The sequence below is a fragment of the Homo sapiens genome, chromosome 17 (assembly GCF_000001405.40).
Source record: "Homo sapiens chromosome 17, GRCh38.p14 Primary Assembly".
NCBI lineage: Eukaryota > Metazoa > Chordata > Mammalia > Primates > Hominidae > Homo > Homo sapiens.
The window spans coordinates 3,118,305-3,138,338 of NC_000017.11; the positions used below are offsets into that span (position 1 = coordinate 3,118,305).

General features: G+C 40.2%; 1 protein-coding gene and 1 long non-coding RNA gene across 2 annotated transcripts in view; both read right to left on the minus strand.

The window, feature by feature from the left end:
• Window positions 1-8,305: 8,305 nt before the first annotated feature.
• Window positions 8,306-9,247, minus strand: OR1G1 (olfactory receptor family 1 subfamily G member 1). The gene has a single exon (NM_003555.1). It carries the CDS (start codon window positions 9,245-9,247, stop codon window positions 8,306-8,308), a length of 942 nt encoding a protein of 313 aa, NP_003546.1.
• A 7,417-nt stretch (window positions 9,248-16,664) lies between these two features.
• Window positions 16,665-20,034, minus strand: part of LOC100288728 (uncharacterized) — a 41,967-nt gene continuing 38,597 nt past the window's right edge. Inside the window, exon 4 of the long non-coding RNA NR_147912.1 lies at window positions 16,665-16,886. This is a non-coding gene — a long non-coding RNA (uncharacterized LOC100288728). The remainder of the gene's footprint in view (window positions 16,887-20,034) is intronic.

A 20,034-nucleotide genomic window follows, 5' to 3' on the forward strand; every position in this document is an offset into this window, starting at 1 on the left:
CTACTCACATACCAACACTATGAAGTTGGTCCCATGATTATCCCAATTTTATGAATAAAGAGACAGAGGCTGGGCATGGTGGCTTACGCCTGTAATCCCAGCACTTTGGGAGGCTGCAGTGGGTGGGTCACCTGAGGTCAGGAGTTCAAGACAAGCCTGGCCAACATAGCGAAATCCCGTCTCTACTAAAAATACAAAAATTAGCTGGGCATGGTGGCACGCACCTGTAATCCCAGCTACTTGGGAGGCTGAGGCAGGAGAATCGCTTGAACCTGGGAGACAGAGGTTACAGTGAGCCAAGATCGTGCCACTGCACTCCAACATGGGCAACAGAGTGAGACTTTGTCTCAAAAATAATAATAATAATAATAATAATAATAATAATAATTAATTTGCCGTCCAATATCACACAAAACGTCAGTGATATAGTTAAGATTTGAACCCAGGGAGTTTACGTTTAGAGATCATGACTATACTGTGTCTTGGGGCTATAGAGTCCTACTCCTGTTTCATTCGGTTCCAATCACTTCTCATTTAATCATGACCATTTCCTTCATATCTTCCTCATAGTTCTCATTGTGAGCTTGAATTATGATTTTCTTCAGATACAACCAGAAAGTGGAGAGCAGAGTTTGTAAAACCACGTTTTCATGGGGCCAAGCAGGTCACATAGATCATTGTAAAGCCGGCCAGATTTGAGAAAAATCAGTTGCAGAAACATGATCAAAAATTGTTATTTTATTAATATGTGGATTATGCCTCTATCATAACACAAACATATATGCTATTGGAGATGATATTTCAAACTTGATATTGAACAAAGTCTAATTAAAAAATAATCACTATATATTTGTAGTTTGTCATTCTTTCATTGGGAACAAAATGTTTTTCTTCTGCACTTTGATGCCAATATGAAGTCCTTTGTTTCTTCACAGATTGGTAGAGAACTGAGGCTTGTGTCCACTAAGTAGGAGGGATATTTAGATCTCTTTTGTTTAATAATAGATGAGTTGTTGAATGCACTGTGAACATGGATCAAATCTTTGCAATAACATTGTTATATTTATTTATTTTTTTATTTATATATTATATATATATTTATACTTTAAGTTCTAGGGTACATGTGCACAATGTGCAGGTTTGTTACATATGTATACATGTGCCATGTTGGTGTGCTGCACCCATTAACTCGTCATTTACATTAGGTGTATCTCCTAATGCTATCCCTCCCCCCACCCCACAACAGGCGCCGGTGTGTGATGTTCCCCTTCCTGTGTCCATGTGTTCTCATTGTTCAATTCCCACCTATGAGTGACAACATGCGGTGTTTGGTTTTTTGTCTTTGTGATAGTTTGCTGAGAATGATGGTTATATTTAATTTAAATATTACAAGTTTAAAATTTTATATTATACATTTCTTTTTTTTTGAGAAGGAGTTTCGCTCTTTGTTGCCCAGGCTGGGGTGCAGTGGCGTGATCTTGGCTCACTGCAACTTCTGCCTCCCGGGTTCAAGGGATTCTCCTGCCTCAGCCTCCTGAATAGCTGGGATTACAGGCACCCGCCACCACGCCCATCTAATTTTTGTATTTTTAGTAGGGACAGGGTTTCACCATGTTGGCCAGGCTGGTCTCAAACTCCTGACCTCAGGTGATCCACCTGCCTCAGCCTCCCAAAGTGCCGGGATTACAGGTGTGAGCCACTGTGCCTGGCCTACTTACACATTTTCATACAGATAGGTTAATGTAACATGTTTGAAATGTTATTCTGATTCTTTATACTGGCAACTGAATGAACTTTGAATGCTACATATGGAAATATTTTTATTTTTGTAAAAATTTATAATAAAAACAAGAAATATTCCTTATTTAATTTCAGTAAAAATTTTATATTAATTTTATTCTGCTTTCAATACATAATTTTTGCCAATTTAGAAAAAGCATTTGAAAAATAATTTTAGGTTTGCAATTTTTTCCATTTACTTTTATATTTTAAATGAAATTACATAAACATAATTATATTTAGCTTTTTAATGTTTAATCTTTAAAAAATTTCATTGTGTAACTTTTAAAAAAAATTTAAGTCCTGGGATACATGTGCAGAACCTGCAGATTTGTTACATAAGTATACATGTGCTATGGTGGTTTGCTCCACCTATCAACCCATCATCTAGGTTTTAATTATTAGTATTATTTCCTGGAGAAGCTTTACAGTATGATTCAATCCTGTTTGTCTATTTTTGCTTTTGTTGCCTGTGCCTTAGAGGACATATTAAAAAAATCATTGCCCAGACGAAAATAATGGAGATTTTCCCCTATGTTTTCTTCTAGTAGTTTTACAGTTTTAGGTCTTATATTGAAGACTTTAATCAATTTTGTGTTGATTTTTGTTTATAGTTAAACTAAGGGTCGAATTTCATTCTTCTGCATGTTAGATACCCAGTTTCCTCAGCATCATTTATTGAATAGACCATCTTTTCCCATAGTGTGTTCTTGACACCATTGTAAAAAATCAGTTAGCCATAAATGTATGAGTTTATATCTGCACTTTCTATCCTGTTCCATTGGTTGATGTGCTCATTTTTATGCCTGTACCATGCTGTTCTGATAATTGTTTTATTATATATTTTGAAATCAGAGAGTGTGATGCCTCCAAGCTTTGTTCTTTTTGCTCAATATTGTTTTGGTTATTTGGGGTCTTTTGTAGTTCCATATGAATTTTAGAATTATTTTCTATTGTGAAAAATGACATTGTAGTTTTGATAAGGATTGCATGAAATCTGTAGATCAATTTGGGCATTTCATAATAATTCTAATCCAAGAACACAGAATATCTATTTATTTGTGTTTTCTTCAATTTCATTCAACAGTATCTAGTAGTTTTCGTCATACAGGTCTTTAGTTAAATTTATGCCTAAATATTTTATTTATTTTTGTTGCTTTTATTTTGTTTATATCTGTTGTAAATCAGATCACTTTCTTAATTTCATTGTCATATTATTATTCGTGTATGGAAACATTACTGATTTTTGTATGTTAATTTTGAATCCTGCAAGTTTATTGAATTTCTTTATCAGTTATAATAGTTTTCTGGTGGAGTCTTTAGGGTCATCTATATATAAGATCACGTTGTCAGCAAATAGAAACAATTTTACTTCTTTTCATATTAGGATGCCTTTTCTTTCTTTCTCTTGCCTAATTGCTCTGGATAGAATTTCCAGTACTGCGTTGAAAAGAAGTGTTGAGGGTGGGCATCCTTGTTTTGTCCCTGATCTTAGAGGAAAAGCTTTCAACTTTTCACTGTTGAATATGATGTTAGCTGTGGGTTTGACACAGACAGTCATCCCTCAGTTTACTTGGGGAATTGATTCCACGACCCCCTGCACATCCCCAAACCTATGGATGCTCAAGTCCTGCAGTTTGTCTGTGGAACCTGTGGATACAAAAAGCCAGCCCTTTTTATTTGTGGGTTCCATATCCCACAGATACTGTATTTTTGACCCATGGTTGGTTGAATCCATGAATATGGAATCTGCAAATATGGAGGGGTGATTATCGCTTCTATTGTGTTGAGGTACATTCCCTCTATACCTAAAGTTTTGAGAAGTTTTTTTTTTAACCACAAAAGGGTGTTGAGTTTTGTCAAATGACTTTTCTTAAGATTATATGGTTTTTGACCCTCATTCTGTTAATGCTTATCTCACTTATTGATTTGCATATGTTGAGCCATCCTTGCTACTCAGGGGTAAATCCTACTTGATCAAGGTGAATAGTTTTTTAATGTGTTGTTTAATTTGGTTTACTGGTATTAGGTTGAGAATTTTTGAATCTACGTTCATCTGAGATATTGGCTTGTATTTTCTTTTCTTGTATTGTCCTTGTCTGGTTTTGGAGCAGGGTAATGCTGGCTTGGTAAAATAAGTTTTAAAGCATTGCCTCCACTTTGATTTTTTGGAAGAGTTTGAGAAGGATTGGTATTAGTTCTTGAAATGTTTGGTAGAATTCAGTGGTGTCGCCATCGAGTCCTGGGCTTCTTTTTGATGGGAGACTTTTTATTACTGACTCAATCTCCTTACTTGTTATTGGTCTTGTTCAGAATTTGTTTCTTCATGATACATTATTCAGTCTTGGTAGGTTGTGTGTGTCTAGAAATTTGTCCACTTCTAGATTATCCATTTTGTTTGTGTATAATTTTTCATACTAGTTTCTTATGATCCTTTGTATTTCTGTGGTATCATTTGTAATGTCTCCACTTTCATTTCTCATTTTATTTGAGTCTTCTTTCTTTTTTCCTAGTTAGTCTAGGAAACGCTTTGTTGGCTTTGTTTACTCAGTAAAACAACTTTTAGTTTCATTGTTTTTCATTGTTTCTCGTCTCTATTTTATTTCTGCTCTGATCTTTATTTCCTCTCTTTGGCTAACTTGAGCTTAGTCTGCTAGATTATTTGAGTTTTGTTAATTGATATAAACATTTGTTACTATACAATTCCTGCTTATACGATGCAGAAAAGTACTCATAAGTTTTTGTATGTTGTAGTCTCATTTTCATTTGTCTCTATTTCCTTTTTGACTTCTTCAGTGACCCATTGGTTTTTTAGGAGTATGTTATTCAGTTTCTACATATTTGTGAATTTTTTAGGATTTCTCCTGTTACTGATTTCTGGTTTCATACTATTGTGATCAGAAAAGATACCTGATTGACTTCAATAGTCTTAATTTTGTTAAGACTTTTTTGTAGTCTAACATACAAGATAATCTATCTTGGAGAATGGTCTGTGTGCACTTGAGAAGTACATGGATTCCGTCGATGTTGGATTAAATGTTCTGTACATGTTTGTTAGGTGCATTTGGTTTAAAGTGTAATTAAAGTCCAGTGTTTCCTTATTGATTTTCTTTCTAGATGATCTTTTACATTTTCATAGCAATTTGGCAAATTAAGGAAATTAAAGAAAATTAGCTTTAAAACTATCTGTAATTATTGCTGGATATATTTTTAAAGAAGGTAGGCTAGGAGAGTAAATCACACAAAAATATGCTTATAAAAATCATATTTATATATTCAAAAATTTGATTTAATCCATAAACTTGACAGTAGAGTAATCTTTGATCAAACTATGGTGTAAGAGTGTCTAGGCATGGTGGCTCACGCCTATAATCCCGGCACTTTGGGAGGCCAAGACAGGTGTATAACCTGAGGTCAAGAGTACCAAGACCAGCCTGTCCAACATGGTGAAACCCCATCTCTACTAAAAATACAACAACAACAAAAATTTAGCCGGGCGTCATGGTGTGCACTTATAGTATCAGCTATTCGGGAGGCTGAGACATGAGAATTGCTTGAACCCAGGAGGTGGAGGTTGCAGTGAGCCAGCATCATGCCACCGCACCCCAGCCTGGGTGACAGAGTGAGACTGTCTCAAAAAAAAAAAAAGTATATAGGCACACCTCAAATACTATATGACAAACATGTAAACTGTGTTGTTACATGGACATTCTTGTACAAAAAATACATATAAAAGAGTAACAAATAATTTAAGTTAAAAAGGTAGAACTAAAAGTATGGATGCATGTTAATTTAAACAGTGAAAGGTGCATGTCTGTCAATGAATTAGGAGAGAATATGGGATGATGTAAAAACTTTTGTATTTTAAATTAAGTAGGCAGAGTTTTACTGTTAAGTACCTAGTATGCATTATTTGAAAGGTAGGTTGCAATCTTTCTTGCAAATGAATCTCTGTAGGTAGGTAATTCCTCATTAAATGCCACAATGTCCCCAAAAGTGTAATTTCAGCAGTGTCCCTTCCCGGTTCACAGTGCGGGCAATAAGTCATTCCTTATTCGCAGTTCCGAGGAGTGGATTCACTTTATCTGCCACTGCTCAGCTTTCATTTTAAGAAGGGCTAATGCAGGACAGTTCTCTGGGTGGCCTTGAATGAACCAGGTTTCCCCCTTTTCTTGCTTATAGTTTTCCAGAATAACTGTAGAATGTGACATCCTGAGATAGGGAAGAGCTGGATGCAACAGCCCAGGTTCTGATCCACTTGCCCTAGAAATAGGATGTTATAGAAAACCAAACACCACATGTTCTCACTCATAAGTGGAAGTTGAACAATGAGAACACATTGGCACAGGGAGGGGAACATCACACACCGGGACTTGTCGTGGGGGATAGGGGGCAAGGGGAGGGAGAGCATTAGGACAAATACCTAATGCATGCGGGGGTTAAAACCTAGATGACAGGTTGATAGGTGCAGCAAACCACCATGGCACGTGTGTACCTATGTAACAAACCTGCACGTCCTGCACTTGTATCCCAGAACTTAAAGCAAAAGCAAAAAAAAAAAAATAATAAAAAAATAAAAAAGAAATGTTCTTCAGCCGTTTAGCCAAGTGGATCCTGTGACCCCCAGGGTGTAAGGCCCAAGGTGGGCTGCCTTATAGGGTCTCTCAGCTGTAGTGTAAGTGGAGTACCTGCATGTGAGACTCATTCCCCCTGTGCAGCTTTTCTGAGCCTTGGGGGACCAGCTCGAGGTGAATCCTAGGCGTCTGTTGTTCCTTGCTGCCTATCTGTGAATAATAAACGTGCTTGATGTCACTTGTTGTCTGTGTGGGTGTTCTGTTTCACTCGACTCGGACAAGTTGGTAACCGGTGCACAGTGAACCTGCTTCAGAGCTTCTACCTCAATGGCTGACACCGATTGAAAATACACTACGTACTAGGAGTTAACCCTGTATGTGTATTTATGCACATTTCATTTAATTATCACAGAGAATGCTTTACATATATTATCATATTTAAACTTACAACACAATGAGGTAGGCTTTTTCTTTTTTTTTTTTTTTTCCAAACATTAAATAATTTCCTAGGATCACACAGCTTAAACGTGGCAAAGCCGGGGTTTGAACTTGATTCCACAGCGTCCACGCTGCTTACCACTTTGCTCTACTACCTTTTATTATCAGACGATCGTGTCTGGGCTTCAGATAAGGTGAATAGGGAGCTGGTGAGCTAGAATTGCTATTATCTACAGCAATTACCATCTATGGCACAGCAGCCTGCAGTCAGATACCTGAAGGTAAACAGACAACAAGAATGAAAAACAGCACCCAGTTGTGACATTTTATTTTCCTATAGAAACGTATTGGTTGTGGCTGTAACGTACTGTACAGAGTCTTGCCACAACGTCTACTGACAAAGCTTTCCAAGTCGTTTTTGGCAACCATGCACAATAATCAATGTATTCTGAAACCGTTGGCCTGAGTTGACCTTGGGAGAAATACGGAAGAGTGTGGTTAACTGTGGACATCAGTTATGAACTGGTGGCACTGGGCTCGCATGCTACGGTAAACAGCTGGAAGTTGATTCTGCAGGCAGTTTCAAGCCACTGGACATTTCTCTTAGTGATATAATGGTACCCTATGAAGATTAATCTGATTATGGTGTACAGAGTTGATGGAAGGCGGGTAGACTGAGGACTGAAGACCAACTAGGAGGAGGCTTTAATCATTCAGGCAGGAGAGCATAAAGTGTCCATAAAAATCATTCTTTTCCCCTAACTTTAAGTTGTAACCATTTCAGTGGGATTCAGCACCTATCAATGGTACCAGGCATTACGCCATGTGGTAAGCATTGGGGCTGCAGAGATGAAATGAGTGTGGAAAAAATTGCCCTGAAGAGGAACCTGAGGTTTTCACATGAAGTCTAAGGTGGCAGGAGGATTATGGGTCTTGGAGGCCTGGTAAGACACTGCAGTGAGTCTGTCTGAAGATGCCATCTCCATCAAGCCCTTCCTAGACCCAGTTCCTCATCACTGAGCATGGGAGCATCACAGATACGGGCAGTGCCTGTGGCAGAAACACTGTGGGTGGGGATCCGAGTGATCAGGATCACAGTGATGCTGGGGGAAGGTCGTCCTTCCCTGAATTTTATTCTTGGCCCTATACAACAGCCCAGCCAGATATTCCCTTATTTCAGTCATGAGCTGTCCCATGTTGTTTAAAAAGCATTAACTAATAACATTATTAAATCATCAATATTATTAACTATAGTAAATATAATAAGGCATGACATTATATTATACATCTGGATGGCTGTGGTTTTAGAACATAATTGTAAGAACTTCACCTGTGACATTGGCCTGATGATGGGTTATGATGCAGTCCTGTAGCTTAGACATGAATATTTCAGGTTCAGATCGTAGGTACTGGAACAGAGGTCTCTAGATTCTCTCCATCTTTCATTCTTCACTGCTTACTGTGGTGAACGCAGGTGCATGGAGACCCCCATATTGGATGTCAAGTCACTACCACTAAGGGGAATGAATTTTCCGAACCCAGATTAACTTTCTCAGGGAAGACTTTATTTCTTGGTTCCTCAAACTGTAGATAAAGGGATTCAACATTGGAGTTACCACTGTGTACATCACTGATGCAACTGTGTCCTTCTGGGCCGAGTGGGTTGAGGGAGAACTGAAATCAACACAAAAAGAAGTCCCAAAGAAGAGAGAGACCACGGAGAGATGAGAGCTGCAGGTGGAAAAGGCTTTCCGCTTCCCCTGAGCTGATGGGATCTTCAGGATGGTCGAGAAAACGTTCGTGTAAGAGATAATCAGGCAAAGCACACAAATGAGTCCTGTGAGACCCCCAGTGATGAAGATCACCAGCTCATTGGTGAAGGGGTCTGTGCAGGACAGACTCAGGAGGGGATTGATGTCACAGAAGAAGTGTGGGATCTCATGGTTTGCGCAGAAGGACAGGCTGTTCATCAGAAGTGTGTGTAGAAGGGAGTGGAGGGCATTCATGATCCAGGATGCAGACACGAGGAAGATGCAGAGCCCAGGGCTCATGATCAGAATGTAATGAAGTGGGTGGCATATGGCCACGTAGCAGTCATAGGCCATGACCGCCAAGAGGAATGCCTCCAGCATCACAAATAACATGAAAAAATACAACTGTAGTAGACACCCTGAGTAGGAGATGGCCTGACTCTGGATCTGTATGTTTGCCAGCATCTTAGGGACTGTGGTGGACACAAAGCAGGCATCTGCAAGGGAGAGGTTGGCTAGAAAGAAGTACATGGGGGTATGGAGTTGAGTGTCAGTAATGATGACTAGAATGATGAGGAGGTTGCCTGCCACCGTGACCAAGTACATGAACAGGAAGGACCCAAAGAGGGGCTTCTGCTCCTCCAGCTGCTCAGAGAACCCCAGGAGGAAACATTCTGAGATGCTGGTCAGATTTTTCCCCTCCATTTGTCTGTAGGAAGAAAGTTGGGTTAATTGGGTGACGTTGGTAAGCCCTGGATTGTGAACTCTGAAAATTATGCAATATTCCAGTGTTGATCTTCTAGTGTGAGGTTGGATCATAGGAAATCTCCACTATTTGACTCTTTGGGACCTGCAAAAATGGCCATTTCATAGGGTTCGACTAAATATTTGCAAATTCCTGTGCTTGGTGCTATGAGAAACCACAGATTTGTTTGTAATGCAATGAGAGGCTTTTAAATTTATTCCATAAGCATTAAGCCAATATGTGTATTTTGGGGCTGGGCTGGAGGGGCTTGCTGGCTTTGCTCTGGTAGTGTTCATGTAGAAACTATGACATTTATACAACCCAAGATTTTACAGGTCAAATGAGCCCATTGTACCAATAATTAAAAAGACAGCTCCTGGAAAGGGGTTTTGGAATTGGGAAAAGCATGGCTAACATGGAAATCATTATCACTGTTATCTACACAGCGGGTCTGGCCAGAAACCTGAGCGTCATTATTGACCCACGTTTCTCCCTCCCTGCCTACATCCAACCACCACCAAAGCCTGGCAATTTTACCTTCTCAATATGGCTACAATTTACTGACGTCTCTCTGTTTACTGGTCACCATCAGTCCCAGCTGCAGCTCATGTCATTCAGGGCACTGTGATTTCTCACTTGGATTTGGGCAGTTGATCTCCATGCCCCCAGGTATGCCCACCTGCCACCTGCTGTTCTAAATACACAGAGAATAGGCTTGCTAAAAATCAAATTCGACTCTTGTCTTTCTGCTTGAAAAATCCTTCATACACTCCTCATTACTCCCAGGATAAACTCTAAACTGAACACGGCTGAATGTCCTGGATCTTACCGTCATTTATTACAGACATCCCCAGTTCCTCATGAAACTCCCTCCTCCACTCCACACTTTATGCACTAATCATAGTTTCAATTATTTTAAAGGCCCAGATACTCCCTCACCTTTAGGCTTTCTCAGGCTGAAATAGTTTTTCCCATCCCATTTATCAGACGAGCTAAGCTTCAGGTCTCACCTTAGATGTCACCTCTTCTGGGAAGTCTTTCCCAACTCATCCTCTCACCAGAAACTCAGGTTCGTGACCTTCCTAATGCAGTGCCTCCCCCATCACAGCACGTGTCACCTTGGATTCTGAGTGTCTGTTTATATGAGTGTCCCTCATTCTGCTGTGAGCATCACTGGGAGTAGGCAGAGATGGTGCCTAATTGGCTCAGCTTTGAAATCTAGCATTAGCCTTGAGGCTGGTACAACACAGATGCTCAGTATGAATCTATCATGTAAATACATAAACCCCAGAGAATGGAAAGAGTGGGAAGAATGGAAAGGGGCTTTGCTATAGAGGTAATATCAGGCATAAGAATTAGCCTGAACCTTTATTATTATTGTTATGATTTTTGAGATGGAGTCTCACTCTGTCACCCAGGCTGGAGTGCAGTAGCACGAACTCAGCTCACTGCAGTCTCCACCTGCTGGGCTCAAGTGATTCCCTTGTCTCAGCCTCCTGAGTAGCTGGGATTACAGGCCACTGCTACCACACCTGGCTATTTTTTTTTTTTTTTTTTTTGTATTTTTAGTAGAGATGGGGTTTCATCACATTGGCCAGGCTGGACTTGAACTCCTGACCTCAGGTGACCCACCTGCCTCGGCCTCCCAAAGTGCTGGGATTACAGGCATGAGCCACCACACCCAGCCAACCTTTTTGTTAGTAGGTTCAGTGGTAGCTTTGAGTTAATGGAGTCCTGGCCATAGGAATATGTAGGGAAACACTACGGTTACAGAGAGATAAGTGTTCCAAACAAATGCATTCTTTCTAGGTGAAATTCTTGGGATGGAACAGTGTTTCAGCTGAGTGATTAACCCACGGAATCAGTTTCCCTGTGCCGCTTTTTTTTACCTTCAGAGTTTAATATAACCTATGGATTTGTAAGCCTTAGTTACGTACACTAAAATTACTACTTACTAGGCAATAGTGGCATCTTATGTCTTATTCTCTCTCTGACCATGGATATTTCTTATTTATTTATTTTTGAGACGGAGTCTCACTCTGTCACCCAGGCTGGAGTGCCGTGGCAGAATCTTGGCTCACTGCAACCTCTGCCTCCTGGGTTCAAGCAATTCTGCTGCTTCAGCCTCCCAAGTAGCTGGGACTACAGGCACACGCCACCACACCCGGCTATTTTTTTTTTTTTTGTATTTTTAGTAAAGATGGGGTTTCTCCTCATTGGCCAGGCTAGTTTCAAACTCCTGACCTCAGGTGATCTGCCCACCTTGGCCTCCCAAAGTGCTGGGATTACAGGCGTGAGTCACCGTGCCTGGCCTGAACATGGCTATGTCTTACCGAACTATCTTCTGCTAGTATGTGGATGCCCCAGGGACTGTGGTATATGTTACTTCTCTCCTCAATACAATTCATCAAAGGAAAAAACAGAAAACCCAGAAGCAGAGCACAGTATTCCTCAGACTTTGCTTTACTAACAGTGGCACTGCCAATCAAAAGGAAGAAGAGATTGAACGAACAATGCTGGGACAAGCTGGTTAAGTCTCTGGAAAATTAATTTAAATTCCAACCTAATAGCACTTACCTGAATAAGTTTCAGATGGTTAAAGCATTTTCCCTGCAGATGTAACTCTAAAGCAACCAGGAGAAAATGCAGCACAATATTTACTCTCAGGACAAGGGTGGACTTTCTAAGTAAAAAACAGTGAAGAAAACAAGAAAGGAAAGGAATAATTGGTTTGATCAAATTAAATTAAAAATACACCATGGAATACTATGCAGCCATAAAAATGATGAGTTCATGTCCTTTGTAGGGACATGGATGAAATTGGAAATCATCATTCTCAGTAAACTATTGCAAGGACAAAAAACCAAACACCGCATGTTCTCACTCATAGATGGGAATTGAACAATGAGAACACATGGACACAGGAAGGGGAACATCACACTCTGGGGACTGTTGTGGGGTGGGGGGAGGGGGGAGGGAATAGCATTGACGAGTTAATGGGTGCAGGACACCAACATGGCACATGTATACATATGTAACAAACCTGCATGTTGTGCACATGTACCCTAAAACTTAAAGTATAATAATAATAATAAAATTCTTTTAAAGAAAAAGATCACATGCAAAGTAAAAAAACAAAGTAGGAAGGTACTTTTTGCATTTATTAAGGAAATAATTAATATTCTTAAAAGTGTTATGTTCCATTAATGAGAAAAGGGTATCTTTCCTTCATTCATAGAAAAACGAAGAATCCCTTGAGCCTTAAGTCACATCCAGCAAGTGGCAGAGCCTGGATGCAGCCTCCACTGTTTAATCCCAAGCTTCTTGTTCTTCTCACCTGCCCACGTGGTCTTCTTTAATCATTTTATCTGCCAGCCGCTGAAATCTCCAAGGTCTCCCCCTTGCGTGTTCTTGGCCAAAATGTGGTCATAGTAGGTGATGTTTCCCTTACTCCCTACCAAGAGTCCCCATTACCACTCAAGGCATGTGTTTATTAGCCTCTGCCTTCCTCATCCTCCCAAGACAGAGCTCTAGGTGAAGTGGGTGGATTCGTGGGGCTCAGTGCATTTTTTTTTTTTTTAAGACAGAGTCTCACTCTGTCATCCAGGCTGGCATGCAGTGGCGCAATCTCACCTTTTTAATCTGCCTAAGTCAATGAAAGGCTCTGCCTCCTGGGTTCAAGCGATTCTCCTGCCCCAGCCTCCCGAGTAGCTGGGATTCCAGGCACATGACACCACACTTGGCTAATTTTTCTATTTTTAGTAGAGATGGGGTTTTGCCACGCTGGCCAGGCTGGTCTCGAACTCCTGGACTCAAATGATCCAACTGCCTCGGCCTCCCAAATTGCTGGGATTACAAGCGTGAGGCACCGTGCCAGCCTCAGTGCATATTTACAGGTGCATCTACAAGGCTCTCCCGACGCCCTGGTGAGCACGATCACCCCTGCAGCTCCCTCACTTTAACAGCTGTTGCTTTTTGTGGTGCCTGGAATTGATTCTCACCTCTCCCTCATGTAGGACAAGCCTTTCATTGACTTACGCAGATTAAAAAGGCCTTAGAATCCTCACCCTCCTTCATCGTGGGGCTCTTGGCTGTTTCTAGTTTAGCAGAGATGGAAACCTCAGCCCGTTTCCCCTCCATTTTTTCTCTTGGTCCCCAAGTCACTGACCAGAGATCTTATTTCCTTCCTTCTCCTTTTAGACCTTTAGGTCTCAACTTTTAGACAACCACGTGCCCAGTGAATGGCCAGCCCTTCGTCCACATAGAAAACCCTTTCCATGCATCGTCCTTCTTTCTTTTCACGTGGAGTCAGCAGGCATTTTCTTAGGCTTATTAGGAACCCTAACTCCAACAACTCAAAATAAAATCGTTCTTATATTCTATATTAGCTATGTGCTGTTTTAGAAGACATTTTGTCTGTGGTAGATGGATTACAATTTTTGGTGAACTTAGTTTGGATGCCTTAGGACCCAGGTTCAAGTTTGAAGGTGGAAATAAAGTGTAGAGAACTTATGCTCCCCACTGATGAAGAAAGAAACATGCAAGGAGGAAAGAAGTGAAAGTTATAAGGTTAAAAACAAACCAGAGGGAATAAGGATGTGGTGGGGGACCGGAGTGATCAGGACACAACTCAAGTCCCTATTCTTATTTTGGTCACAAATAACACTTTAACTCCACCTTCCAAAATAACATGCAATATATTGTCTAGTATGTTCATTAAAACTTTCTGGAAGAATTAAACAGGAAACCAGTAACAGCGATTACTTGTTACAGGCACAGAACTGGGTAGATGAAAGGCAGGAGGGGAGAAAGATGTTCATATCTACCTTTCAGCACTTTTTGAAGTCTGACTATGAGAATGTACTACTTACTGAAAAATAAATTACTTAAGAAAATCTTACCCCAAAGGCAAGCCACAAGCTCATAAAATGTATAAAATGGAAGAAAATGCAGTCGAATGCAGCTTCTCTTTGACGAAGATTCCACAAATAGCAGAGGAACCGTATGGCTGAAGGCTCATCCTTCTAAGGCGTCAGTGTTCTGTGTGGGCAAGAGTGTGCATATGGTGTGGACATCGGGGTGTGACTGCATCCGTGTCTCCTGCAGAGAAAGGGCTCATCAGGGGATTGTTTGGACAGAGGTCTCTGTTGCTTCCTGCTCTCCCATTTCACAATCACTCTGATTGTCTGTAAGGTCCTGAGGATCTGGGTCTTTGGCCTTTTTGGCTATGAAAGCAGCATCATGTCATTGTTATGGTTACAGGGCTGATTTTGAGAGACGGGCTCTCAATGCACCAAAGGCTGGAATGGGCCGGAGAAGGGACAAGAAAAAAGAAGCCAGGCCGGGCGCGGTGCCTCACGCCTGGAATCCCAGCACTTTGGGAGGCCGAAGCAGGCGGATCACGAGGTCAGGAGATCGAGACCAGCCTGGCCAACATGGTGAAACCCCATCTCTACTAAAAATACAAAAATTAGCTGGGCGTGGTGGCGGGTGCCTGTAATTCCAGCTACTTGGGAGGCTGAGGCAGGAGAATCGCTTGAACCTGGAAGGCGGAGGTTGTAGTGAGCCGAGATCGTGCCATTGCACTCCAGCCTGGGCAATAAGAGTGAGACTCCATCTCAAAAAAAAAAAAAAAAAAAAAAAGAAGCTCCTCTAGTCCTCACCCGATCGTTCTCGCCAGTTCCCAGGCTGTCACTGTCAGAATTCTCCCTGCTTCACCTGCATCTCTCCCCCTGAAGACGGGGACAGGAACGTGACAAAAACTCCTTTTAAAGGCACCAAAAGGAAAACCGCTTCAGACTCGGGGTGAGTTGAATGATGACTCTTGACGTCACTACCTCTCCTTCAATTCCTCCTTTTGTCTCACAGGATTAGAGAACCTCTTATCTTTGTCCATTCTGAGAGTAAGGGACAAAAGCTCCAGGTCAAGATCAGGATCATGCCAGCACATGTATCTTGGGAAGCTGCATTCACAGAACCCCACACAGAGCCTGATAATCACATCCTGCCCCTTTTCTACTTACTTAAAATTTGCTCTAATGTCTGTTCACTTTCCTTATTCACGGAGACCATGAGAAATGAGTCCTTATAATTTCATCAGCACCTGGAATTAGGGTCCTGCTATATTTAGTGACAGGTTGGGTCAATTTCAAAACATGTTAAATTGGAGGTAATTAATTCTGGGAGATGCCCCAAACCCAAGGGGATTAGGAATCCAGCGCTGGATCCCTGTGGTGATCGGGTCCAAGAGAGGATAAGGCACTGGGAACCGGCCCACGACACCTCTGGAGTCTCAGAAGAATTTTGGTATTCCAAGTTCACAAGCAAAGAGTGGATTTTTGTTTTCTGGAGCTTTCCAGGGTAGTTCAGATAGAGGCCTGTAGGACCATGAAAAGGGCCAGATGGTGTAAACTATTGTTGGCTCCAAAGTCATATGAATGATTTTAGCTATTATGTTTATTTAAAAATTCTGGAAGAATAAACAGGAAACCAATAACAATGATTACTTGTTAGAGGTATGGAATTGGATGAGAGACAGGAGAGAAAAACGATTTCCATGTGTACCTTTTAGCACATTTTGGAGTTTGAATATGTGAATGTACTCCTTATTGAAAAATAAATTAATTAGGAAGTCTTACCCCAAAAGCAAACCATGGGCTCATAAAATGTATAAAACAGAAGAAAATGCAGTATAATGCAGCTTCTCTTTGATGAAGATTCCATAAACAGCAGAGACACTTGTATGTTTGGAGCCACATCCTTCTAATGTCTTAATGCTGTGTGTGAGCAAGAGTGTGTACGCGCCTGTGTTAGTGCAGGAAGATACGCTTATGCCATCTTTTCTTCTTCCAGACGTGAGAACCCGAGAAGCAAGGCTTAGACTATGTTGGTGCAGGCTCACTTGCCCTATTTTTATCTTCTCTGGACTGGAGAGAGCAGAGATAAGAATCTGAACATCCCTAAACATGGCAGGTGCCAGAAACCTGAACACCATTCTGGCAGATGTGGCATCAACAGCTCCATGCGGCAGGTGGAAAGTGAAATGACACCCAGAAAATGGAGTCTCTGTTTTCTCCTGTAGAAATGGCCCCATGAGTCTCCCTAACCCAGTTGATCTATCCAGGGAATCTGGAGAATAAAGAAGCATAGAATTTGGATAACTTGGGCATATGGGTTATTCTTGATATCTCTTTGGGACAGTGGCCAATGTCTTGTATGTTCTAGGGGTATAATTATGATATACCTTTAAATCAGCAGTATAATAGTTTAAATATATTATTCCATTGGATTGAACAAAAGAACAACCACCTAATTTTATGCTTAAAAAAATCTAGTTTATTTTTTTTCTACCTTTGGTAAAAGGAAGGGAATAAGCTGCTTGTTTAAGAAGAAAGTAGAAATACATGAAATCCATATTCTGTCTTCCAGACACATGACATGGCTTAGCTGTGGTATTTGATGTTCAATCCATTCATCAAAGTGGAATGCTTACTGGTGCAGCTGAATGAACAAAAGTTGGGAAGAGAGCAATGCAGGTCTTGGAGTTGGAAAAGTCATCTGTGTTAGTCCTTCTTCCTATTTCACTTCTTTTCTTAAAACCTGGAGAGGTAGAACATAAAGGGAGCCCAAATCCAACTCATGTGTTCTTAGTTTGACCAGATGAGCATTTGCAAGGACCCCCTTTTATCTTTTAGAGAATGAAGAAGATCTAGTATTTGATAGCACAATACCATCACTATAGTCAATTCAATCATACATTAAAAATAACTAAGTATAATTGGATTGTTTGTAACACAGCGGATAAATACTTGAGGTGATGGATACACCACTTACCCTGATGTGATTATTACACACTGTATGCCTGTATCAAAATATCTCATGTACCCCATAAATATACACACCTATGTACCCACAACATTTTGAAAAATGTAAACAATAATGAAAAATTATGACATTGATTTGGTTGCTTTGTAATGTAGATAGATGTTATATATATAGCATCTAGCAAAAGGCATTGGAGCAATAAATGAGATTATGCAAATACAGAGCTTCTACATTTTACATGAGGTGGTGTGATATTAACTGTAAATGGACTGTGAGAAGCCAAGCATGTATATCGAAATCCTACAACCACGAATGAAAACATAAGATAAAGGGGAATAACTTAAAAAGTAATAAATAAATAGGAATTACAAAAGGGACCATTACCATGGCTGGAGTGTCCCCTCTGCTTGTTAAAGTTCTAGCCATGTTTCCTGCATGTGCACACATCCTGACTTCTTTAGATATCTCTCTTTATTATTCTATATTCCCTCTACAGGCCAGCTGTGGAGGCAGAGGAAGAGCATTCAGCATGAGGAAAACTAGGCTCAAATACAAGATCTGCATTTTTCTAATTGAAAGACATGGGCTAAATCACTTCATCTTTGAGAGATGTGACTTCATCTGGAAAGAGGGCTATTGCCATCTGTGCCACAGGACTATTTTGAAAATTCAAAGAGACAATAATATATGTGATAGACGAAATGCACACACCCACATGCATACATACATTTCATATGTAATGAAATGGCTACTTTCTCTGAACCTACGTGGCACATTAACTTCTTTTGCAGCACTTATCACTTTCTTTCTTGTTTCATTTTTTTCAAAAACAAGTATTTGAGTGCTCAGTAGTGCAGGACAATACACTGTGCTATGTCCCTTGACTGATATAAAAGGGAGAGAGACACATAGTTTGACTTGGAGGGACATCAAGTCTTGACTGTACAAATATCTTCCTTCCCCAACTAGAATCCTCATTCTCCAGCCTGGCTCCCTTTCTTGTAGTCATTCTGCAAGCCTCTTTGTTGAAAACTTGACTTCTCAGCTCCCCTCTGATCCATGTTCTGTTAATTTTGCTCCAAAGCTTTGTGTCTTCATTCTACTATTTAATTCAATACATCCGCAAGAGTCACAGGAACACTAAAAACACACCCAAAATGGAACTATTTTTTTCTTAAATTACTCTTTTGTTCACTACTGTCATTAAGGGCATCTTTTTCCTTTTAGTGACTCAAACTCAAAATCTTGTAGACATCTTATTGCTATCATAATAATTCATTCTGTGGTTTCTATTTCCACATAACCTTTGCATCTAGATCGTAGATGCAAAGGAGCATACCTCCTTATATAGTATCTATCCTCTTTGGTATTTATTATTTCACTATGGGCAATAAACACCTAATTTCATTTGATGTTACTGAGTTTATCCATAACAGCAAAATTAGTCTTGTATTCATTTTGTATCTTCACTCTCTCTTCCCTAGATTGCTTTAAGAGCTGTCTAATTAAACTCCTGATCTCATCACTCTCCCCTCCTCCCTTACTGCTCTCTTATCTATCCATTCTTGATTAAAGAGAAGCTCTCTTCATTGTTTCATTCAGAGCTTTTATCTATGTATCTATGTAACTATCAATCATAATTTCATAAACACCCCTGGACTCACCACTTAATCTGAATATTAGGACTGTAGTAATAACCTACATCTAACTATGTGATAACCCTAGTTCTATTCCTCCATCTCTCCTCTTGAATTTTGTCTCATCCTCAACCCTGTGGTCATTCTCTCCTTTGCTTTTGTTTTTATTTTATTTTTATTATTCATTAATGACTGTCTTAGCAAGATTTTAGGATTTGTATTATCTTTAGATATAGTCTAGTTTAAACTATGAAGTAAGCACAAAAATATTTCCCCAGGTCAGTTTCTTTTTTTATTATACTTTAAGTTCTGGGGTACATGTGCAGAACATGCAGGTTTGTTATGTAGGTATACACGTGCCATGGTAGTTTGCTGTACCCATCAACCCATCATCTACATTAGGTATTTCTCCTAATGCTATCCCTCCAATAGCCCCCCACCCCCTCACAGGCCCCAGTGTGTGATGTTCCCTTCCCTGTGTCCATGGGTTCTCATTGTTCAACTCCCACTTATGAGTGAGAACATGCAGTGTTTGGTTTTCTGTTCCTGTGTTAGTTTGCTGAGAATGATGGTTTCCAGCTTCATCCATGTCCCTGCAAAGGAAAGGAACTCATACCTTTTTTATGGCTGCATAGTATTCCATTGTGTATATGTGCCACATTTTCTTTATCCAGTCTATCGTTGATGGGCATTTGGGTTGGTTCCAAGTCTTTGCTATTGTGAACAGTGCCACAGTAAATATACGTGTGCATGTGTCTTTATAGTAGAATGATTTATAATCCTTTGGGTATATACCCAGTAATGGGATTGCTGGGTCAAATGGTATTTCCGGTTCTAGATCCTTGAGGAGTCGCCACACTGTCTTCCACAATGGTTGAACTAATTTACACTCCCACCAACAGTGTAAAAGCATTCCTATTTCTCCACATCCTCTCCAGCATCTGTTGTTTCCTGACTTTTTAATGATCGCCATTTTAACTGGTGTGAGACGGTATCACATTGTAGTTTTGATTTGCATTTCTCTAATGACCATTGATGATGAGGTTTTTTTCATATGTTTGTTGGCTGCATAAATGTCTTCTTTTGAGAAGTGTCTGTTCATATCCTTTGCCCACTTTTTGATGGGGTTGTTTTTTTCCTGTAAATTTAAATTCTTTGTAGATTCTGGATATTAGCCCTTTGTCAAATGGATAGATTGCAAAAATTTTCTCCCATTCTGTAGGTTGCCTGTTTACTCTGATGATAGTTTCTTTTGCTGTGCAGAAGCTCTTTAGATTCCACTTGTC

Coding starts and splice junctions, on each gene's coding strand:
- OR1G1 (NM_003555.1), bottom strand. CDS start 9,247: ATGGAGGGGAAAAATCTGACCAGCATCTCAGAATGTTTCCTCCTGGGG.